Source organism: Homo sapiens, chromosome 6 (assembly GCF_000001405.40).
Source record: "Homo sapiens chromosome 6, GRCh38.p14 Primary Assembly".
NCBI lineage: Eukaryota > Metazoa > Chordata > Mammalia > Primates > Hominidae > Homo > Homo sapiens.
Genome location: NC_000006.12, coordinates 44,943,866 through 44,969,084, shown reverse-complemented (window position 1 = coordinate 44,969,084; position 25,219 = coordinate 44,943,866). Strand labels below are relative to the sequence as shown.

Below are 25,219 nucleotides of genomic sequence, written 5' to 3'. Positions count from 1 at the left end.
GGACAAACTTCCCAGAGGAGGTGGGACCTACGCAAGACCTTGAAGAAAGGGAATGATTTAAATGACCCTGAAGATGGGGAGGGGTGGCCAGCACAGTAATGGGGGAGTGGCAGGGTGGCAGCAGTACATGGCACATATGACAAAGGGTGACCTAACTAAAAACAAAGAATAAATTTGGTTTTAGTGAGAACAATGTGTGCTGAGGTAGAATGGCCGAGATTATGTCTGTAATTAGAAGTCAGGCATTTGAGCTTAAATTTGATGCAGTGCTTAGTTTAGAGCCATTTGTTTATGAGTCAGAGAAAAGAAAGTGATGTGGGGACACAGGACAGCCTACTACAGTGAATCTTACAATGTACGAGGGCCTTTTCTCCATGTTTTTATTTAAAATACTAGTATGCAGGATAGGTTGGGAGAGGAAAGGTCTGTGAAAGCTAGGAAGCTGTTGCAATACCCCAGGACCAAAATGATGACTTTTGCAGTGGAATAAAAAGAAAGGGTGCTTTACCATGTGTTTTGAGGGAGGCTTACTTAGCTTTTGGGTAAGGAGTCTACCAAATTACAAACTGACCCAGCAAGCAGAATGAGCACTCACTGGGGTACTGGATTGCCTCTGCAACCATCCCAGTAAATCCTTTAACCTTTCTGGACCTCAGCTTCTTTACCTACAGTGAGTTAGAGATATGGTTTCTTCGGCATTTTGTGGTATTTACTGACTTGTTAATATTATCCTTCTGCAAGTGGACCACGTTATACATATATAAACATGCATACACATTTCATAATTTACATGTTGCCGCATTGCTGAATGCTGCTGCCAACCACTCCATTTGAAGTTTTCAAGTTCAACAACCAATGCCTATTGAACATGAGATTGTTGGTAGATTACCATTTTAGTAAAAGGCATTTTGCCTTTTCCATGCAAAAAGGACTCTGCATTTCAATTGTAAGACTTTTAAGAGTAATCAGAATAAGATTAAAAAAAATTTTTTGGCCAGGTGCAGTGGCTCATGCCTGTAATCCCAGCACTTTGGGAGGCCGAGGCAGGAGGATCACTTGAGGCCAGGAATTCAAGACCAGCCTGGGCAATTTTATAGAGATCTCATCTCTATAAAAATAAGAAAACAATTTGCCAGGCCTGATGGCACACACCTGTAGTCCCAGCTACCCAGGAGGCTGAGGCAGGAGGCTCACTTAAACTGGGGAGGTTGAGGCTGAAGTAAGCCATGATGGTGTCACTGCACACCAGCCTGGGTGACAGAGCAAGACCCTGTCTCAAAAAAGAAATGAAAAAAATGTTGAAGTAGAAGTGAGAGCAGATACTCTCATCTTGGTTTGAAAGTTATGCTCTGTGTTTTTGTGTTGCTGAAGAAAGTTAAATGCCATGTGCCTTGAGAAGCTGCCAAGAGATATGCCAGCACATAGCTTCCATAACCTTTAAAAATGCTTCAGTGAGAGCACATGGAATTTAAATGCAACTGCATGCTGCATAAGTAATCCAGCCTTACACCTCAAAGTGGTATAGACAGGGCAAATGATGATTGTCCGTACTGAAAGTATTTTTCAAAGGCACAATCAACTTCACATTAATTGAAATAAAAACTTTTCACTGAAAATTCAGATTAACAAATATGTACCGAGAGTTTGTTGTATTCACGATATTGAACAAACAAATTATACTAGGCACTGTATCTGTAGGGATATTAGCATTTCTGTTTTCATTTAAGTAGGACGCAGAAAGTGAGTTCATCTAGCATAAAAGTCTGCCTTCTCTGTATGTTTTACAATAACAAGAAAATGCTGTAACTTCCCGGTAGTGAGAAAAGCAACTAGTCACCAACTATTCTGTTTTACCTTTTTAAAAAGCTATTTCAATTAAATTTTAAAATACTGTTGAGTATTTGGAAAACTTTAGGAATAATTCTTTCACAAGTAGTTTCTCCACATTTGTGCCTATGTTATAATACTTAGCTATATTGTAATACTAGTAAGATTTAATTTCCTAAAATCCTCTAAGTATGTTGCATATTTTATGAATGTTCAAGAATGCTGTTGATGACACCTAAAGAAACCAGGGAGTGGGTGGAATTGACAGATTAAGCAGAAGACATACTGGACTTGCAGATACAAGAGTATGACTAATCCAAAGATGACCTTACATTCATGTGGCCGTCTGAGATAGGAGAGCATTGTGTAATTTGAGAATGTTCAGTATGAATAAAAGCCATGATAAATCATCTGTGATTATTCAGTGACTTTTATTTCAGAGATTTGTGTTTTCAGTGCCTTTGACAATGATATGATGTCTTTTTTGTTATAGTTTAATGACTATACGGAATAGCCAAAGTAAGTCTTTTAAAATTAAGTTTGCATTGTAATATTTAGTTCAAAAGAAACTAGAGCCTAAAGGGAGTACAACCTTCATTACAAGTAATATGATCTAGAATAGTAACTGTTTTCTGAGAAACTTTGTATACCTTAGAGGTAGGTATTTAGGACCCAAGTTTTACTTCTAGTTTTGCCTCTTTATTAACTGTATGCTTTTAAAGTTTTCCTTTAAGTTCTCTAAATCAGTGTCTTCATTTGTAAAATGAAACTAATAAAACTGCTTACTCTTTATTGAGATGGTTTTACTTTATAAATATTTTAAATATGTAAATAAATATAAATATTTTATAAATTTTATTTTATAAAACCATCTCAAAGAATAAGCAGTTTTATTAGTTTCATTTTAAAAATAAAAAAAATTATGTTCATTTTAAAAATAAAACCATCTCAGTAAAGAGTAAGCATTATTCTGATCATGATGTTTTACTAGGCTTATGATATTGTCCCCTTGAATCTTTTTCCAAAGATTTCTTAAAGGAATAGAAAAGGACTGCCAGTGTATACTTTAGTATGGATCAGAATGGGTGATCTGAATAGAGGCAGAGGAGAAGGTAGAATTAGGGCACCACAGAAAATAAGAGCCACACTTATTTAATATTTGACCACTGTCTTGATTTTTTTAATGGATTTTTGTCTTTAAAACTGCCTTGTCTCCCTGGGATTTGTAAAATTGGATTACAGTTTGATCCTAATTCTTACAGTTTCTGGTCTTAGGCCGGTCAACACGTACTTAAACGCATTTCTTTTGTCCTAGTCCATCCATTCATCTGTCCCTTGATTCAGCTAGTGAGGCCCAGGCAAATCCAAGCAAAGCATTGCCTCAGCACTCTAGAAGAGCAGCACGGTTCCTGTATTTGGAGAACATACAGTTCATGAAAGTTAGATATTTACTCCCTTTCTCAGTATTTAAGATGATAGTGGAAGGACAGGAGAAAATATAATACTCAGATGTTGAATTATTTGGATCATATGGCCAAAATTTGTTCCTTTTTTTTTGTATCTTTGAAACAATTCTGGGGGAAGAGAGGAATAAACAAAAATTAGGTGATAAGCATATCCAAATCATCTTCATCATTGGCCAAAATTTGTTCCATTTTTTTTTTAAACAATTCAGGGGAAGAGAGAGGAATAAACAAAAATTAGGTGATAAGCATATCCAGATCATCTTCATCATCCTCAAATCCAAGTCAGTGCATATATAGCTCAAAGAATCTCTGATTTCATGAACTCCCTTGACTATGCTGTGAATACCATTCATGTGTTATATCATATAATATTCAAGGACATTAGTATTAGTACAGTGCTTCCAGTCTTTCTCACATCATGGCACACATAGAAAATGATAATATTTTTATCACCCACCAAGGTAAATGGACAAGGCAGCTGGTAGCAGATACCAGCCTAGGGGTTCTGCTGCCTCAGCTTCGTTCAGCATCCAGAGAGTGAATGGAATCAGTATCTCTACACACCTGTGATGTGCTTGCACTATCAGATACACTACAGTTTCTACACTCTTCATTAGATTACCCCCAGCTTGTACGTCATTTGCTGACCCAGGGCCTCGCTAATTTCTTTTTCTTAAGAATAGTTTGAGCATGTTAATTGTAGGAGCTACATGACATGTTTTAGTAAGACAATATATGAAATTTAGAGCATCCCAAAGGAAAACATTGGAATAAAAAATTACCATTAGTTGAAGACAGCTTTTTATAATGAAAATAGGCTGACTTAGGAATTGGGAGTCCTGAGCTTGAATTCTAACTTAGTCCACCTTTGACAAATCACTTCTCTGAGCCTCAATTCCCTTTGAATTGAAGAGATTTGAACAAGATAAACTTTAAGCTGCCTTCTATCTCTAAGCCATGATTTTGTATTGTCTATAAGTCTTTGCTGTTGAGTCAGCTGCTTTGCGTGGAGTGTTTCCTGTGTGCTAGGCACTGGATAAATGGCTTCTTATATATACCCTAGGGTCAGATTTGTGGGGCTCCTCAGATCAAAGTTTACTGCTTCGATGCTGGAGGAATTAAAAAAGAACTAGGATGCTTAATGAAGAAAAGAGAATAGGCATTGGAGAGGGTGTCTGAAAGGAATGAAGCTTGCCATAATTTAGTCTTTCACATGTTTATGGATATCTTTGAAATATTGTAGCTGGCAATCCTGGCAACCTTAACCTCTGACGACAAATTTTGCTACCTCTCATTTCTAGAAACACTTATTGCGAATACATCAGCTATGTAAGCATATATGCAGAGGCCAAATCTTGGTTGTCCAACTTGGTGGAAGAAAAAGTTAGTGTTAAGAATCCCTTTAGGAACATTCTTTTTCCATAGTTATCCAAATCTTTTCTGTCCAGCCATTTATTGGTTGGAGGAGGCTACCAAGCTGGAGAGCAGCAGAGATGGTATGTAGGAATCATTAGATAATCATTCTCGATCTAGTTTCATTATGGTGATAGTCATTTGCCCTGTGGAATAAAACAGTCGCATTTGTTCATCCAACAAATGTTTATTGCTTATTTACCATGTGTCAGATATTTTCCTAGGAGCTAGAAATTCAAACGTGAGTAGTTCCTGCTATAGTGAGACACAGACAAACAGATATATATACACAAACATACGTACATAGATACAAATTAACGTTAGTATTATCAGTCTTAGAGAGTTTATTTAAATAAACACATTAACAATTTTTTTTTTTTTGAAACGGAGTCTCCCTCTGTTTCCCAGGGTGGAGTGCAGTGGCGTGATCTTGGCTCACTACAACCTCTGCCTCCCGAGTTCAAGCGATTCTCCTGCCTCAGCCTCCGAGTAGCTGGGACTACAGCCGCATGCAACCACACCCGGCTAATATTTTATATTTTTAGTAGAGATGGGGTTTCACCGTGTTAGCCAGGATGGTCTCAATCTCCTGACCTCATGATCCACCCGCCTCAGCCTTCGAAAGTGCTGGGATTATAGGCATGAGCCACCGTGCCCAGCTGCAACTTTTTTTGTAATGTTCAAAACACATAAATAAATTCTCCCTTTCTTGCTTCCTATTTTCATCAGGAAACATTTATTGAGTCATGTGTCAGATACATTAAAAAGAGGGCTAAAACTAGATCATGCATTTAAATATCAAAAAATACTTCCAAGTAAATAAAAATTAACCCAATAATATACTCTTAAGGAGACGTGGTTGTGTGGTTGTTTGTTTGTTTGTTTGTTTGAGACGGAGTCTCACTCTGTCACCCAGGCTGGTGTGCAGTGGCGTGATCTCAGCTCACTGCAACCTCCACCTCCCAGGTTCAAGCAATTCTCCTGCCTCAGCCTTCCAAGTAGCTGGGATTACAGACCCATGTCCAGCTAATTTTTGTATTTTTAGTAGAGACAGGGTTTTGCCATGTTGGCCAGGCTGATCTCGAACTGCTGCCTTCAAGTGATCCACCTGCCTGGACCTCCCAAGTGCTGGGATTACAGGCGTGAGCCACCACACCCAGCCGAGACGTGATATTTCTGACACATGCACAAGAAGATGTTTACATACATATATACATATATGTGTGTTTGTGTATATATATAAAAAAAGAAATTTATGTGTATATGTGTACATATATAATTTATATATTTATCTTTATATGTGTATATATATACACATACATATATACATTATATGTGTATATATATAAAATGTTTGTATATGCCCAAAAAGTATACTTGAACCTAGTGGGTAAATAACCAAGATAGACTTGGATTTGTGAGTATGTGGATGTGTGGGAGGTAAGGAATGAAGGAAGGGAGAGAGGGAGAGAAAGAAAAAAGGGAGACAGAAAATAAGGAAGGGGAAAAACAGTCATTGGTCTTAGAAGGAACCACGGTAGTGACTAGTAATTTTTACCTTAACTCCTACTGCCCCATCTATATTCTCTATTAAGCTCCAGTTAGTACACCATTATTCATTCCATCAACTGACCTATCATTGGAATTGACTACTCACACAAATAAAAGAAAAAAGAATAATTTCTATTTCAAAAATACAAAAACATCCACAGACATTAGAAGAAATGGTACTTATGTGCTCTGACAACGATGGTAAAGGTAACTTGCTGAAAGTTCTTCCACAACAGAAAAAAAAAATTAAATCTCAGGGATTTTTTTTTTTCTTCGCTGGGCAGAAATTCATTCCAAGAAGTACCAGCCTGTCTCATTTCAAAATGCTCTCCTTACCAAGGAAGCGGAAGTGGTCATATTCTTTCCCACCAAACTATGGATGAATTATAATTATCCTACCTCTTGTGGGACAGTGAAGCAGTAAACATCTGCTATACTGAATCAAAAACTCCACAAATGAAACTATACCAAATGAATCATACCTGGACTCAGATTAAAGGATCTGTATTGTGTTTACCTTTTTCTTTATTTTCTTGCAATCTAAAATATGGATTTGTCAACTGTGGCCCCAGATTCTGACTGAAAGGGAATATATGGATTCCATTCACTGATTCTTGTTTAACATTGAACATCACAGCTTTAAAGCAGATTGACAATAATATTTGTAACAGTTTTTCTGTTTGGTTTATTATTCCCTCATCATTTTCTTTTTCTTTAAAAGGATGATACAAGTCAGAAAATTTAGACGTGAGGTCCTTTAGTTTTAGTTTCAATAACAAAGGAGCAGAAAGTAATATTTAAACTTTATTTCCAAAAGACACCAGCTTCACAACTAGTGTTAGTTATTGTGATTTTATGTATCGTGATCTATGTGGTAGTACTACCCTGTTCACCTGGAATAAGGAAAGGAAAATGGTACTTCAATTCTAAGTTTAAGCTGTGAAAACATATATAATAATCTGCTTGCTTTAAAAAATGTTATGTATTTTTATCTTTTAGAGAGCAGAAAGACAAACTCGAATTATGGATTCAGCTCAATATGCAGAATTCTGTGAAAGTCGACAATTAAGTTTCTGTAAGTAACTATTTAACTTTGCTTAATTATATGCATAAGAGATTTGTGTTATAGATGTACTAAAGTATGACAGGATCTGTTTCTTAGAAATTGGTGGATTTAATATATGTGTAGTTGTAAGTGCTATACAAACAACGTCTACATTGTGGGGAGCCTATAAATGATTTTCCTACATTCTACTGCTTTGCAGTTAATAACATTAAGAGGTCTTAAGTGGTGCTGGTAATATACAGAGTGCTATGGTAATTATTTACAGTACTTTTAATCATAAAAATTCCATTGTCTTAGTATTTCCATTTTAATTTCTAGTTTCCTAGTCATATTTACACTAGTATTTCTGATTGCATTTGATCCGTAATGGACTCTAATAGTAGTCATGACATTTAAAGGACCCTAATATTAATTATTTTCCTTTATGTATACTCATTACCACAAAGGAACATATCACTGGTCTCTTCCATTTTTGTCTAACCTCCTACCGTGGCATGTATTCAGTGTTAGCCAAATTTATTAGTACATGCTCTAGTAACACTAGTAACCTCGTGGTAAAATTAGTACTTTCACATCACTGCACATCAGCTTATTGAAAGTGTATAATGACTCGTAATAGTGAGCTAGATTGTGTAGCAAAACATCCTTACAGCAAAGTTTCAGTTGTGACTAAGGCTCTCGGGGTAAAGGTCAAAGAAGAAAGTGTGATGAAAAGTCCAGTCAAAAATATGACAAAGTAGCACATGACCATGGTCTGAGGGATTATAGAAACAATGGTGTCTTTAAATGGAAAGCTATTATGTGGTCCCAATAACAGCATATTTGATTTGGAAAAAGAAAGGGAGAGCTTCATTTATAGATTATAAAGTGCAAATAAATGACACATTGCATAGTATCCCATGTAAATGTCAGTAAAATATAGGAAAACATGTTTTGGAAGATTTTTTTTTTCTGACTAAATATACTTTCCAATTTGACTAACAACTTGGCATCATACATCTGTGAAGCATTAAGTAAATGGCACTTCAGATCATGGCAATTTCAGCAAATGAAAGGTTTTGTATTGTAATTTTTAGGTTTAAAAATGGCATTCAAGTCTTTATAAGTATCAACCTCCAGTTTATAAAGTAACATTTAGTGCAATTGAACTATTTTTTTAAATTATATTTTAAATTTAATTCACTTAAAGGAACAGACATACTACTTTCACACTGAAACTCATAATCTTAAAGTCTCCTAATATGCCTTCTCTTTGAAAATCAGATTTTCAGTTACTTCATGTTTTTTTGTTTGTTTGTTTTTGTTTGTTTTGTTTTGCTTTTGTTCTTTTTTTTTTTTTTTTGAGATGGAATCTCACTCTGTTGCCCAGTCTGGAGTGCAGTGGTGCGATCTCGGCTCACTGCAGCCTCCTCCTCCTCCTCCTCCTCCTGGGTTCAAGTGATTCTCCTTGCCTCAACCTCCTGAGTAGCTGGGACTACAGGCGTGCACCACCACACCCAGCTAATTTTTGTATTTTTAATAGACACGGGGTTTCACTATGTTGGCCAGGGTGGTCTTGAACTCCTGACCTCAGGTGAGCCACTGTGCCCGGCCCATGTTTTGTTTTTAACTCAATAATAAACTATAGTAGATTAAAAAATAATATTTTCCCTTTCTGTATAAAATAACTATAGTATAAACAGTGTATTATGTTTAATTTTCTTTTCTTTAGAGTGGAAGGACTTGGTCATTTAAAACTATTTATATATGGTGCCCATAGGTGTTTTATTATGAAACCTTGGTGGGGAAATCTGTTTTATATGGCAAAATACTGTGGTTGAGAATGCTTTAATCCACGTGGGTCAGCAAATTCAGAAGCTATTCCTGCACTCGTCAGAGTGTTATGCTCTTTTCATTCTTCTCCTTCTAATAAATTACCAAGATACAGGAATTGTGGTCCTGCCATATGTATCTTCTTAAGTATTTGATCATAGCCATCCCTGGAATTACTGGTACATTTTAAAATAATGAGTCTGTAACTTTATAGGCTGAGGGTAAGCTGTAGCATCGGCACACTAATCTAATTCACAATTCAGTCTTTTGTTTTCATATGTATATAAGTCAGAGAGTTATTTCTCTTAAAGTCTTTTAAAATCTGATATTAATATTGACACACAAAGCTCATAATCATAAAGAATAATTTATAATAATTTAAATCATTAAAATTTATAATCTATAATTAAAATGTATAATTGGTAAATTATTTTCCAGTCCTTTACTTTCAACTTTTTATTTTATATTTGGTTTTATCTAGATTTTGTTTGTAATCAGAGAGGCTCTGTGTATTTTAATTGATTAATTTATATGGATTTAATTACTGATATTGTATATGCTGTCTTGTGTTTTAAATTTCTGTGCTTTTTAATTTGCTTTTTCTCCTCCTTTTCTATGTTGTATTAGATTGATTGGGTTTTCTTCATTTCTTTTTCCTCTGCAAGTTTGTAAGTCCTATATTCTCTTTGTACTATTTCAGTTGCTATCTTTTTTTTGATATACATCCATGACGTAAAGTTTTTAAAATTGTTAAATATTTGGCTAGGCACGGTGGCTCACGCCTGTAATCCTAGTGCTTTGGGAGACCGAGGCAGGTGGATCACCTAAGGTCAGGAGTTAGAGACCAGCCTGACCAACATGGTGAAACCCTGTCTCTACTAAAAATACAAACAAACAAACAAACAAACAAGCCAGGCGTGGTGGTGCATGCCTGTAATCCCAGCTACTTGGGAGGCCAAGGCAGGAGAGTCACTAGAACCCGGGAGGTGGAGGTTGCAGTGAGCCGAGATCGCGCCATTGCACTATCAGCCTGGGGGACAGGGTGAGACTCGTCTCAAAAAAAAAAAAAAAAAAAAACCATTGATAAGTACTTAAACTTTCCTTCTTGGCCTAATGTCATTTTTTCCTACAGCTCTGTACAAGCTTAAAAACACCCATTTTTTTTTCTTAAATGTCTTTATTTTGCCCCCATACTTAAATGATTGTTTAGTTGGGTAGGAAATGGTAAGCTGATAGTTAACTTGTTAAGACATGATTCCCTTGTCTTTTGGCCCCTGTTGTTGGTAGAAGTTTGCTGTCAGTCTACTTATTATGTATGTTTCCTGTGGAAGAAACTAAGAGAATGAAGACATTGACGCCAGGTCCCCCCTTATATGGGGAAATGAACACACTGGCCCAAGTAGTTGCCCATAAATATGTATAAAGGAAAGGAATAAGGAACTCCTGCTAGGGAAGTTTCCAGGGAAAACCATGCCCTCTGAAGAAGGCTATTTTCAATTAGGTTGAAGTTGCAAAGTAGTTTCTTCTGAGTGGAATGAGCATTCCAGAGGACCCTAAGGAAAGGACTGGGAATGGAAAGACTGTTGGGAAGGGATGGGATAGAAATCACTGAATAGTATGCAGGCATGAGAGAATGGAATATTGCAAGAAACTTAAATTTTGTTAGTGATCATTGATAAGAAAGATAAAAAGTATGTGAGATTAACCTTAAATTTCCATATGAAATTATCATGTAAAATTGCTTTTTAAGTTCAGCGCAGGCTGAAAATCCAGGTAGTATTACAATGCTAATAATCCTAGGAACTTTTGACCATTGCTCAGGATTCTGTTTGTTAGTCAATTTCCAGGTTATCGTTTCTCCTGATACGTTGGGAAGAGGGGCGAAGGAGAAGGAACTTGTTTATTCTGAGGCCCCTCTCACCTCTTGATGAAAACAAACTGTCTTAACTACAGGTATCTGTGCCTCTTTTGCTGGAACCAACAATACCTTGGAAGGGTGAGGCTCTAAAGCCATCCTTCTCCACATGACAGGGAAGGAATTAGCTCTCAAAGAATCTCCACCACTTGGTGGAACAGCAATAACCCAAGTGGTTTTTGGACTTCTATGCATGTCTTTTGATGAATAGAAAAGTTTGGACTCTACTCTTTTATTTAAAAAATACTTCATTCATTTATTCATTTCTTCTGGAAATATTTCTTGTGAGTCTGCTAATGCCAGGCAGTATTCTAGGTGCTAGGGATACAGTTGGAGATATATGGTCCTTGTCCCTGCATTCTCGGTGGTTACAATCTAGCAAGGAAGCTAATTCTGTTATGTGGATAGATCCAACTGAATATTAATAATGATCCTTTCCCTCACTTTTAAAATCAACTGTTTAGAGCACAGTCACAAAATATCTGTTTCTGTCCTAAAGATCTGTCAAGGAGATAAGTGATTAATGTACATCTCATTGATCTTGCCAAATTGCTGCCTGTTAACTTTAACTTTAGAAGTATTCCACAGATGTTAAACAAGTGTTTGTGAGCTATCGCAGCATACTAGTTAGATGGAATGTTGCATGTCAGAAAGTATTTGGAAGATTTGTTACGTTGGGGAGATAGCTTTAAGGGGGATTATCATAATTCTGCCATATTTGACAGCTTTGGGTATATGCTTCGATAGCAGGACTTAATGTTTTCCATGATTTATTTAAAAGAGAACTCTTCTGTATGTGGAATCCTGAAGATTCTATATAGAAGGATCAAAATATCATGCTTTGAGTTACTATTAAGTGTTTTATAGACCCGTGGGGCCAGATTAATCAAAAGAATAATCAGTGGATTATAAAGAAAATCTTACAGATTTCATAAAATCTTCACTATCAATCTTTCCCTCTAGGTTACTAGTTAAATGAATAATGTCTAATGAAGTCCCTATATCAAATTAGACTGCTTAGCACTGTGGCAGTGTAGAGATATTTAACTAAAGGTTACATACGCGCTTGGTTCTGTATATGCTTGGTACTATTACACATGCAGAGACATAAGGCATGGTCTTCTCCCACAAAAATTTGTAATATGGCTTAAGAAATTATAAGCATTTGTGAAAGAATATCTGATGGTATCAGTGTTCAATAAATGGCTAGAGTAGGGAAGTATACCTTTGGCCTGTATGATCAAGATTCATATGAATGAAGAAGAGTGATGGCAGAGCATTCCATGGAAGGAAAGGAGTAGGAGTAGACACACAGAGGAAAAGACTCAAGGCCAGGTGATGGTTTAATAGGGAAATATCTTAAAGGCTGCTTGGAATCAGTCTGGATGGTTTTGAGTCAGGCTTAAGAATTTAGACATCTTCATAACCGGAAAAAATGTAACCACAGGCTTAGATTAGACCAGATGTCAGTTTATTTAACTTTAAATTTACAACTTTGAGCCATTCTGGTAATAGACACTTTTTTTTTTTTATTTTTATTTTTTTTTTTTATTTTTTTTTTTTTGAGACAGTTTCGCTCTTGTTGTGCAGTGGCGCCATCTCGGCTCACTGCAACCTCCACCTTCCGGTTTCAATCAATTCTCCTGCCTCAGCCTCACGAGTAGCTGGGACTACAGGCACGCACCACCACGCCCAGCTAATTTTTTGTATTTTTAGTAGAGATGGGGTTTCACCATGTTGGCCAGGATGGTCTCCATCTCTTGACCTCGTGATCTGCCCACCTTGGCCTTCCGAAGTGCTGGGATTACAGGCGTGAGCCACCGCGCCCGACCTAGACACTTTTTTTAAACGTATTTATTTAGTAGGTTTTTTGGGGAACCGGTGGTGTTTAGTTACATGAATCTTTTTTTTTTTTGAGACGGAGTCTCGCACTCGCCCAGGCTGGAGTGCAGTGGCTCCATCTCGGCTCACTGTAAGCTCCACCTCCCAGGTTCACACCATTCTCCTGCCTCAGCCTCCCAAGTAGCTGGGACTACAGGCACCCGCTACCATGCCTGGCTAATTTTTTTTGTATTTTTAGTAGAGACGGGGTTTCACCATATTAGCCAGGATGGTCTCGATCTCCTGACCTCGTGATCGGCCCGCGTCGGCCTCCCAAAGTGCTGGGATTACAGGCGTGAGCCACCGCGCCCAGCCTACATGAATCTTTAGTAGCAATTTCTGAGGTTTTGGTGCACCCATCACCCGAGCAGTGTGTATATTGTACCCAATGTGCAGTCTTTTATCCCTCACCCCCCTCCTACCCTTTCCCCTGAGTCCCCAAATTCCACTGTATCATTCTTATGCCTTTGCGTCCTCATAGTTTAGCTCTCAGTTATAAGTGAGAGTATAGGATATTTGGGTTGCCATGAGCTGGAGGCAGGGTTAGGCATGTCTGAGCTCAGACTCTTCTTGGGCGGGGCTTGCTGTGGCTGTTGTGGGGGATGAGGGTGTGGCTTCTAGAACAAGGGAGTTACCGTTGCCAGGGGCATTATGGCTGCCTCTGTTGCCCCACGCAGGTCGCCAGGGAAGTGGGGGAAAGCCAGCAGCCGCAGGCCTCACCCAGCTCCCATGCAGCCCACAGCCCGAAAGGCCGGTCTCACTCCACCATGCCCTCTGCCCGTAACAGCACCAACTTTATTTCCAGGCAGCTGGTGAGCAGGGCTGAGAACTTTCCCCAGGCTACCGGCTTCCTAGCTGAGAAAGCAAGCCTACTCACAGTTCCTCTGCGTCCCACAGAGCCTGCAGTGGTGATCCACCTCCTTCAAGGGGTCTGTGGCTCTTGGCTTTCCTGGTATATTCCTACGGTAGTTCTTGGAGCAAAAGTTCACAGTGTGGGTCTCCACGTGCTGCTCTACCCATCCAAGTGGGAGCTGCAAGTTAATCCTGCCTGCTATGTGCCATTTTCTTCTGAGACTAGAGAATATTTTTGAAAAATATTAGCAATAGTTTCTGTATGTTTCTTTTTTCATCACAGGTTCTTTCTTGCAAGATTTTCTTTCTATATGAGTAAATTAAGGTTACATCAGACAAGAACATCTTCTGACTTCTTGTTGTAACATGAGCGGTAGCCAATGGTAAATCTGACAGTGTGAGAAGTATTAAACATTAAATGCTTTAATATACTATGTCATATAGCATAGGTGTAAAATAAAAGACCCAAATACGTAAGAGAGTTGTTGAAAACAACCATTGTGTTGCCTTATAACTGAGAGTTAAAACTTGGATTTCTTGGGGCCAGAATATCTAGACATTAATTATGCATTTTATGTGCATTATTTTTTGTGTACAATTCTGAGTATACTTTTTTAATTTTGTGATAGTAATGTGCAGTATTAAAACACTTTAAAAATTAAAATTTCTGCACTTGTTTTTTTTAAATGGCCAGCCAAAAAAGCTTCCAAATTTCGAGACTGGTTGGACTGCAGCAGTATGGAGATAAAACCCAATGTTGTCGCAATGGAAATCTTAGCATATTTAGCGTATGAAACTGTGGCACAGGTAAGAATTCTAATCTGTCATATCGGGCCACACTGGCTGGTTTTTCTTTATCTCTGCCCATGATCAATTCTTCTTCTCCCTGCTGCTCTACCAGTAATAACAGCCATGAATTCTCTCCTGTGGCATTTACATCATTTTCTAAAATTTAGTTCAGTTATGTGTCTCTGCATCCTCAATTCAAGTGGATGCTAGGATAAAAAAGAGTTCTTGTACCTTTATCTTAATGAGAAATGGAATCCCTGCATGCTTTTTCTTGACATTGAACTCAAATCCACATCTGCCTTGTTTAGAGATTATTTTTGAGCTTTGAAAAACACCTTTCTACGTATGTGAGAATTTAGGAGTACTTACCAAATTCTGGGTCTGGAATCTCGCCCTCTAAAAGACTTTCTCAAGATGTGGTCTTTAGACCACAGGCATCAGCATCTCCTTGGTTCTTGTTTAAAATGCAAATTCTGGCCAGGCGCGGTGGCTCTTGCCTGTAATCCCAACACTTTGGGAGGCCGAGGTGGGTGGATCACCTGCAGTCAGGAGTTCAAGACCAGCTTGGCCAATATGGTGAAACCACATCTCTACTAATAATACCAAAAAAAAGTTAGCCGGGCATGGTGGCGGGCACCTGTAGTCCCAGCTACTCAGGAAGGCTGAGGCAGGAGAATCATTTGAACCTAGGAGGCCGAGGTTGCAGTGAGCTGAGGTCGCACCATTGCACTCCAGCCTGGGCAACAAGAGCGAAACTCCATTTCAAAAATTAATAAAATAAAATAAAATAAGCAAATTCCTAGACTATATGCTTAAAACAGACCTACTGAATTAGAATCTCTGGACTTAAAGCCCAGAAATTTGCACTAGTGACTGTGAAATAAATTTTGAGAACTACTCTCCTAAAAAGTCAGAATATATCATGACTAGGTCCATTCACCAGTCAATGAAAGTGTGTGCTCATGTCTACAATATAGATTTTTAGGCAAGCAGGATTATCAGTAACATTCAGAATGTATTGCTTTTAGGTTTGCCACTTCAGTGGCATTCATGATTATTTCTAGCTATGTGACTTTCATTCTTCTGGTCTTCTAGTTAGTGGATCTGGCTCTTCTTGTGAGGCAAGACATGGTAACCAAGGCAGGGGACCCCTTCAGCCATGCCATTTCTGCAACCTTCATTCAGTATCACAACTCTGCTGAGGTAAGTACAAAAAAAATCTGTCTTAAAACATTTGTGAATTTTGACACATATCTGGTATTTACATTAGTGATTCTTTAATAAAGATTATGCAGGAGTGTATAACCTTCAGTCAAAGAATCTTAATACATTAGACATTCAAATAAGTATTTAATTGAGCACCTACTGTGTGCCAGGCCCTGACAGTCCACTTAAGACAATGACTTTTTTCACGTTTTTCTTGCTTCACTTAGCTTTCCTACCCCTTCATTGAAAGGGATAGTTGCAAGGCATTTCTTATTTTTATGGGAGATGAAAAACTGGTTTAGGTAATGTTGGAAAAGTCATTTATTTCTTTGTGCTTCAAAAGATAAGAGGGTTATCATTATTATTCACAAAATAATCCCTGGCATTTATTGATAACTTTCCATTTCAGTTATTGATTCATCTCTAAAAATGATTTAAAGAAGCTTGTCTTCATTCATCTTGAGTTTTTAGATTGCCCCTACTATGTGAAAATTATATTCTTTTCTGATCTGGCTTTGCTATGGGAACCGTAAAGTTTTCTTTCCAATTTTAAGGCTCTGTATAATAACTGTGCACCACTTTTAGTATACAGAATCTCCTCTGTAAACAGCATCTACCTCAAAACCAGAAATGTATTGCAGTGTCTTGAATGTATTTGCCAATATTCGACCCTTTTCACTAACAAAAACAGCAGTTTCACGTAATTCAATCGAATATCCATAGATAAGACAGCAAGAAGGTTAAGTTCGCATCTACATGTAGAGTTGTGAAGTACGTTTTGGATCAAGTTGGTTGAAATATATAACCTGAAAATGGCTAAGCTCTGTTTTATAGCCATACCTTGATTACACATTTCTACTCCTTGTTAAATATCTATAGGCAAGGATAGTGGTTCAAATCATTTCTAAGAAGTAGTTGTAATCTTCTTTAGGTCACACACCCCTTTGAGAATCTGATGAAAACTATAAACCCTTTTTCTATAAACACATTCACAAATTTTGCCTACAGTTTCAGATTGTTCAGAGACATTCTGAAGCCATTCTATGGATCCAAGGGATCTGTGAACCCTATGGACCCTAGGTTTAAATTTCTCTGCTCTAGGATACATAGAAAATATGTTAACATATATGCCCATATAGCATCTTATTACAAACAAAAGGACAATTCAACATTTTCTTATGCCCCTTGGAAAATCAAATTGGCTTGGAAACCAAATAGGGATTAAAATGTTTATGCCCATTAAAAATCCATTTTTTTCTTAGAAAAGGTCATACATCATTATCAGTCAACATACAAAAGTCCCTAAAGCTTACTTAGTTGATTAATCACTATTTGTTTTCTTTATGTTACAAACCCAAATTATGATGTCAAAAAACCCCCTTTAAAATGTCTTTGATGTTTGTTCACTTTATGAATATGTGTATAAGTATGCTTTCCATTAACATCAGACAAATTTGTTATAACATTTCTAATTGAGAAAATTTACTGTGAACACAACGGGCCTAGTTTTCTTTTAACATTCAAGTGATTGCTTGCATGCCTAGGAAAACTCTTTATTTCCCCTCTTTTCTTGGTTCTCCAGGGTGGCCAAGCTGCCCTAGGCAACTGCTCAGCAACCGCAGCCGCTGTTCCCAGCTACCCAGCAGTTGAGAGGAATATCCTATATGTGCTGGATTTCCTGGGCTCTCTGGGAGGTGGGAGCATGAGTGTCAGAGAGCCTCCTGACAAAATATGTTAGTATAAGCCTCAAACTTTTTTCTGGCTGGCAGACACCCCTCCCCTCCTGTGACTGGTAGTCAAGATGAATATTCAGAGACTGGAAGTCTTCCTTCCTGCCCTTTATCACTTGACAAAATCAGCAGCTAACATCAAGGGCCTGTACATCAAATACTATACCAAATTGAGTCCAAAGTGGGACTCTGGAGACTGATGTGATCTCTGTTCAGGGAGACAGGATATTTTGTAAAACAAATAAGCAAATAATTGAACAAACAGTTTAAGATGGCATATACTGGTTTCCAAATGAGTGACTCAGACAGAAAATACAGAAGTTTAAAAAAAAAAAAAAAAACCTTCTCTAGTTGCAGTCAAAGACTTTAGAGAGAAAGCTAAGGTTAAAAGAAAAATAGGACTATGATAAGGTAGAAGTTAGGATAATACTCTAGGACTCAAAGACAGCATAAGTACCATTTTAGAAGGAGAAAAACCCAACGCTGTTTAAAATATTCAAGGATTAAGGTTCATTAAAGAGGAATAGTAGGCATTTGGATTAGAAAATTAAGGCTCAGATTATATAGAGTCTTAGACTGCTAGAGTTAGGAAGGAATGAATTGTTGATGGTTTCTTGGCTGAAGGGTGAGGAGTTCAAAAGGGTGTTTTAAGATCCAAATGGTATAACTAACCTGCACAATGTGCACATGTACCCTAAAACTTAAAGTATAATAAAAAATAAAAAATAAATAAAAAATAATAATAATAAAAAATAAAACAAGAGGAAAAAAAAAAAAAGATCCAAATGGTAGTGCCATGTACAGTGGATTAGAATTGGAAACTCAAGATGTGGGTTAATACACAGTGCATTTTATTTTAAGGGGTATCATTCTTGAGCACTAACCATATAAGGAACTGGGCTGGTTAAGCTTGGGTTCTTACTAGATTAGCAAGTTTAATATTAATTCAAGTTAACTTTCTAGATTTTCTATGTTGCCCAGGCTGGAGTGCAGTGGCTATTCACAGGCATGATCATAGTGCACTACAGCCTTGATCTCCTGGACTCAAGCCATCTCTCTGCCTCATCCTTCCATGTAGCTGGGACTACAGGCACACCACTATGCTCGGCTATTTTTTAAAATACATTATGAAGAATTGTGGGCCAGTAGTGCAGTTGGTATGATTGATGATGAGGAAAATGTAGATTAATAATACCATACATTAAAATGATTTTGAGATTTTTATTTGCCTGTGAATTTCTTAGGAGCCAATACTGTGATGTGACTGATAAGGAATTTTTTTAGTATTGGGCATCATCCTATAGAATGGACATTGACACAGTGGAGCATGTCTAAAGGAGAGTAATGGGAAAGGGGGCAGGTGTCTGAAGAAACTGAAAAACATTTCTTGTAGTAACTGCTGGGATGAACTTGAGGTGTTTGACCATTAAAGAGAAGAGGCTATGAAAGATAAGTCTTCAACTATTTAAAAGTACTTCTCCATAAAGAAAGAACAGACTTCCTTGAACATATCAGTTTATGCATTCTCATGTTGGTGAGTATCTGGACTGTCACCAGTTTCTGAGGTATTATGAATAAACCTGCTATGAATATTACTGTACAAGTCTGGAAGGACAAATGCTTTTGTTTTTCTTAGGTAGATGGCAGTGAATGAAATTGTTGGGTCATAGAGTTAGGCATGTGTTTGGTTTTTAAAGAAACAGACTTTTTTTCCAAACAGGTTGTACCATTTTATACTTCCACCAACAGTGTATTAGAGTTCCAGTTGCTCCACAGCTTCATCAACATTTGGCATTGTCATTTTTACTTTTAGCCATTCTAGTGGATATTTTCTGATAACAGTTTAAGTGTGTATTTCTCTGATGACTGATAAGGTTGAGCACTTTTTAATGTATTGATTGGCCATTTATGTATCTTACTCTGAGAAGTGTCTCTTCAAATCCTTTGCCCATTTTTTTTTTTTTTGCAGGCAAAGGGGCTGACTTTTATTACCAGTTTGTAGTTCTTTACATATCTTGTGACAACAGTCCTGTATCAAACACATATTTTTCACATATTTTTCTCTCAGTTTGTTAGCTGAGAAATTTTAAGTTTCTGATGAAGCCTAATTTATCCAATTTTTTTCTTTTTTTTCTTTTTTTTGACAATATTCCGCTTGCATTTATTTATTTTTTTAATTTTTTGTTAATTATACTTTAAGTTCTAGGGTACATGTGCACAACCTGCAGGTTTGTTACATATGTATACATGTGCCATGTTGGTGTGCTACACCCATTAACTCGTCATTTACACTAGGTATGTCTCGTAATGCTATCCCTCCCCATTCCCCCCACCCCACAACGGGCCCTGGTGTGTGATGTTCCCCACCCTGTCTCCCAGTGTTCTCATTGTTCAAATCCCACCTATGAGTGAGAACATGCGGTGTTTGGTTTTCTGTCCTTGCGTTAGTTTGCTCAGAATGATGTTTCCAGCTTCATACATGTCTCTACAAAGGACATGAACTCATCCTTTTTTATGGCTGCATAGTATTCCATGGTGTATATGTGCCACATTTTCTTAATCCAGTCTATCATTGTTGGACATTTGGGTTGGTTCCAAGTCTTAGGTATTGAGAATAGTGCCACAATAAACATATGTGTGCATGTGTCTTTATAGCAACATAATTTATAATCCTTTGGGTATATAGCCAGTAATGGGATGGCTGGGTCAAATGGTATTTCTAGTTCTAGATTCTTGAGGAATCACCACACTGTCTTCCACAATGGTTGAACTAGTTTACAGTCCCACCAGCAGTGTAAAAGTGTTCCTATTTCTCCACATCCTCTCCAGCACCTGTTGTTTCCTGACTTTTTAATGATTGCCATTCTAAGTGGTGTGAGATGGTATCTCATTGTGGTTTTGATTTGCATTTCTCTGATGGCCAGTGATGATGAGCATTTTTCCATGTGTTTTTTGGCTGCATAAATGTCTTCTTTTGAGAAGTGTCTGTTCATATCCTTCGCCCACTTTTTGATTGGGTTGTTTGATTTTTTCTTGTAAATTTGTTTAAGTTCTTTGTAGATTCTGGATATTAGCCCTTTGTCAGATGGGTAGATTGTAAAAATTTTCTCCCATTCTGTAGGTTGCCTGTTCACTCTGATGGTAGATTCTTTTGCTGTGCAGAAGCTCTTTAGTTTAATTAGATCCCATTTGTCAATTTTGGCTTCTGTTGCCATTGCTTTTGGTGTTTCAGTCATGAAGTCCTTGCCCATGCCTATGTCCTGAATGGTATTGCCTAGGTTTTCTTCTAGGGTTTTTATGGTTTTAGGTCTAATATTTAAGTCTTTAATCCATCTTGAATTAATTTTTGTATAAGGTGTAAGGAAGGGATCTAGTTTCAGTAACCAAAACAGAATGGTACTGGTACCAAAACAGAGATATACACCAATGGAACAGAACAGAGCCCTCAGAAATAATACCACACATCCACAACCATCTGATCTTTGACAAATCTGGCAAAAACAAGAAATGGGTAAAGGATTCCCTATTTAATAAATGGTGCTGGGAAAACTGGCTAGCCATATGTAGAAAGCTGAAACTGGATCCCTTCCTTACACAATTTTTTTCTTTTATATTTATTGCCTGTGTCCTAAGAAACCTTTGGCTACTCCCATGTCATGATGATATTGTCCTGTGTTTTCTTCTAGAAGCTTTATCTCTTTGGTTTTTGTATTTAGTTCTATTAATCTGGTCAAATTAAAATCCATTTATTGTATGAGTTGAAGCCAAATCCAATTTTTACTTATGGATATCTAGTTATTGCAGAACTATTTGCTGAAAGACTCTTTTCTCCCATTGGATTGCTTGAACAATATATCTAAATGGATTTATTTTTGGAGTTTCATTTGTGTTTATTTGATTATAATGTAAGTCTTCAAACTCTGTTATTTTTTAAGCTTAATATGGACATGCTGTGTTCTTCGCATTTCTATGTAAATTTTAGAATCAACTTGTTAGTTACTGCCAAAGAAAGAAAAAGAAAAAAAAGAAAAGCCTGGTGGGATTTTGAAAGGAATTAGGCTGACTGCTTACATCAGTTTGGGATATGTTTTAGCAATACTAAGTCTCACAATCCATGAACATGGATTTTCTCTCTTTTTTATATTTATGAAATATCTCTTTTTATTACTGAAAATGCTGTACATATGAAGTCTGTTTATGTGATTGATTTAGCCATTCCAGCCATGTGATTGCTGTTTACATAATATGTTTTTCCATCCACTTCCTTTCAATATATTTGTATGTTTCTGCAGGCATACTTCAGAGATATTGCAGGTTTGTTTCCACACCACCATATTGAAGTGAATATTGCAATAAAGCGAGTCACACAAATTTTCTGCTTTCCTGGTGCATATAAAAATTATGTTTACGCTATACTGTAGTCTATAAGTCTGCAATGGCATTATGTCTAAAACATGTACATACCTTAATTTTAAAATACTTTATTTTTTAAATGCTAATTATTATCTGAGTCATTTGCATGTCATAATCTTTTTGCTGGTGGAAGGTTTTGCCTCGATGTTAATGGCTACTGATTGATCAGGGTGGTGGTTGCCGAAGGTTGGGGTAGCTGTGGCAATATCTTAAGATAGGACAACAGTGTGAAGTTTGCCACATTGATTGACTCTTCCTTTCTTGAAAGATTTCTCTGTAGCACGTGATATTGTTTGATAGCATTTACCCATAGCAGTACTTCTTTCATAATTGGAGTCAGTTCTCTCAAACCCTGACATTGCTTTATCAGCTAAGTTTATGGAACTAAGTCTAAGTCCTTTGTAGGAGTTTTTGTAGTTATTTTTAAAAATGTTCACAGCATCTTCAACAGATATAGACATCTTCTCAAGAAACCACTTTCTTGACTCATCCATAAGCAACAACTCTCACCCATTCAAGTTTTATCATGAGATTGAGCAGTTCAGTCATATCTTCAGGCTGCACTTTTAGTTCTCCTGCCATTTATACCACATCTGCAGTTACCTCCTCCACTGAAGTCTGGACCGCTCAAAGCCATTCGTGATAGCTGGAATCAGCTTCTTCCAAACTCCTGTAAATGTTGATATTTTGACCTCTTCACGTGAATCACAGATGTTCTTAATGGCATGTAGAATAATGAATCCTTTCCAGAAGATTTTCATTTACTTTCCTTGGATCCATCAGAGGAATCACTATCTATGGCAGCAATAGTCTTATGAAATATATTTCTTAAGTAATAAAACTTGAAAGTTGAAATTATTTCTTGAACTGTGCTGCAGAATGGATTTTGTTAGCTATTGTGAAGACAGTGTTCATCTTTTTGTACTTCTCCAGCAGAGCTCTTGGGTGACCAGATACATTGTCAATGAGCAGTAATTATTTTGAAAGGAATCTTTTTTTCCTGAATAGTAGGTCTCAACACTGGAATTAAAATATTCAGTAAGCCATGCTGTAAATGGATATGCTGTCATCTAGGCTTTGTTGTTCCACTTATAGAGCATAAGCAGAATAGATTTAACATAATTTTTCAGGATCCTGATTTTTAGAATGGTACATGAACACTAGCTAAAACTTAAAATCACCAGCTGCATGAGCCCCTGACAAGAGAGTCAGCTTTGAAGCTTTGAAGCCAGGCATTGATTTCTCCTCTTCTAGCTATGAATGGCCAAGATGGCATCTTCTTCTAATAGCCATTTCATCTACAATGAAAATCTGTTGTTACATGTAGCCATCTTCATCATTGATCTTAGCTTAACCTTCAGGACAACTTGCTACAGCTTCTACATCATCATTCGCTGCTTCACCTTGCACTTTTATATTATAGAGATGGCTTCTTTCCTAAATCTTATGAACCAGTCTCTGGTAGCCTCTAACTTTTCTTTTGCATGTTTCTCATCTCTCTTGGCCTTCACAGAATTAAAGAGAGTTAGCACCTTGCTCTGGATTAGGCTTTGACTTAAGGAAATGTCATGGCTAGTTTGATCTTCTATTCATCCTACTGAAACATTCTCCATATCAGCAATAAGGCTGTTTCACCTTCTTATCATTTGTGTGTTCAGTGGACCAGCATTTTTTAATTTTCTTCAAGAACTTTGCCTTGGCACTCACAGCTTGGCTATTTGGGGCAAGAGGGCTAGCTTTCATCCTGTCTTGGCTGTCAACATGCCTCCTTCACTAAGCTTAATCATTTGTAGGCTTTGATTTAAAGTGAGAGACATGCAACTCTTCCTTACATCTGAAATACTTAGGGGCCATTGTAGGGTTATTAATTGGCCTAATTTCAGTATTGTTGTGTCTCAGGGAATAGGGAGGCCTGAGAGAAGAAAGATGGAGGAACAGCTAGTCAGTGGAGTAGTCGGAACAAACACTTTTATTAAATTTGCTATCTCATATGAATACAGTTCGTGGCGCCCCAAGACAATTACAATAGTAACACTAAAGATCACAGATCACCATAACAGATAAAATAATAATGAAAATATTTGAAATATACTGTGAAAAGTACCAAAATATGACACAGAGACATAAAGTTGGACACGTATATGCTTTTGGAAAAATGGCACTGATAAGACTTGCTTGATTTAGGGTTACCATAAACCTTAAATTTGCAAAACTTACAACATCTGTGAAGCACAATAAATCAAAGTGCAATAAAGTGAGGTATGCCTGTATTGAAAGATAAATATAATATATTTAAAGTCATCTCTTATAGTCAGCAAATAATTGGGTCTTGCTTCTTTATTCCTCCTTTCTGTCTGTCTGTATCTTTTTTTCTTTTCTTTTTTTTTTTTTTTTTTTTTTTGGAGAGAGGGTCTTGCTTTGTCTCCCAGGCTGGAGTACAGTAGCATGATCATAGCTCACTGCAGCCTGAATCTCCCAGGCTCAAGCAATCCTCCCACCTCAGCTTCCTGAGTAGCTGGGACTACAGGCATGCACCACTACGCCTAGCTAATTATTGTATTTTTTTTTGTAGAGACAGGGTTTCACTGTGTTGCCCAAGCTATTCTCAAACTCCTGGGCTCAAGCGGTCCACCCACCTCAGCCTCCCAAAGTGCTTTTATAGGCATGAGCTGCTGTGCCCTCCCCCGATCTGTATCTTTTAATTGTAGTCCATAATTCTGTGATATTTGATGTATTAAGTCACGTGGTCAGATATAGGGTAACTTTTCCTATTTCTTTTCTGCTTATTTCCTCTCTTACTGTTTATCTGTTTCTCTTTCCTGTCTTCTTTTGGGTTGTGTGTTTTTTAGAAATTCCCTTTAATTTATATATTGATTTCTTTATGATATCTTTTTGCATCCTTTTTTCAGTAGTCATGGTAAGAATTACAATGTACATCCTTAAATGTTCAGTATACTTGGGAGTTATTACACTGTTTAACTCACATAAAATGTAAGACTCTTGTATATATATAGGTCCAGGTCCTTTATGCTATAATTGTCATGCATACTACATCTATATATATTATAAGCCATAATACCATAATTTTTGTCTTAAATAATCTAGTGCGTTTTAATGAAACTAAGAGAAAAAAATAGAGCTTCACTTGATCTTAGCCAAAAGGCTGAGAAGCAACTAAAAAAAAGAGCTTATTGTTTACCATTCCCATTGTTCTTTATTTCTCTTTCATAATTAGAGTTTTCTTGTATCATTTTTCTTTTCTGTTCTGCTAAATTTTGTTTAACATTTGTTGTAGTGC

The 25,219-nt window shown here is 37.1% G+C and overlaps 1 protein-coding gene across 29 annotated transcripts in view, besides 1 other annotated feature; it reads left to right on the top strand.

The window, feature by feature from the left end:
• Positions 1–25,219, top strand: part of SUPT3H (SPT3 homolog, SAGA and STAGA complex component) — a 568,878-nt gene that overhangs the window by 408,850 nt on the left and 134,809 nt on the right. For 22 of the 29 annotated variants that reach the window (NR_146632.2, NR_146634.2, NR_146633.1 and 19 more), the window contains 3 exons: positions 7,257–7,332; positions 14,478–14,590; positions 15,668–15,775. Coding sequence is in view for 18 of the 29 variants with exons in the window: in NM_001350327.2 (NP_001337256.1) it covers positions 7,257–7,332; positions 14,478–14,590; positions 15,668–15,775 (297 nt within the window). In the remaining 11 variants the exon portion in view is untranslated. Of the gene's footprint in view, positions 1–7,256; positions 7,333–14,477; positions 14,591–15,667; positions 15,776–18,901; positions 19,043–25,219 lie in introns of all 29 variants that reach the window. The other 7 variants (NR_146635.2, XR_007059346.1, XR_926320.1 and 4 more) reach the window with 3 other exon arrangements.
• Positions 4,146–4,346: a silencer, noted in NCBI's record as "peak5818 fragment used in MPRA reporter construct". NCBI's record gives its function as "represses an SCP1 promoter by STARR-seq MPRAs in K562 erythroleukemia cells {active_cell/tissue: K562}" and the evidence as "EXISTENCE:reporter gene assay evidence [ECO:0000049][PMID:32103011]".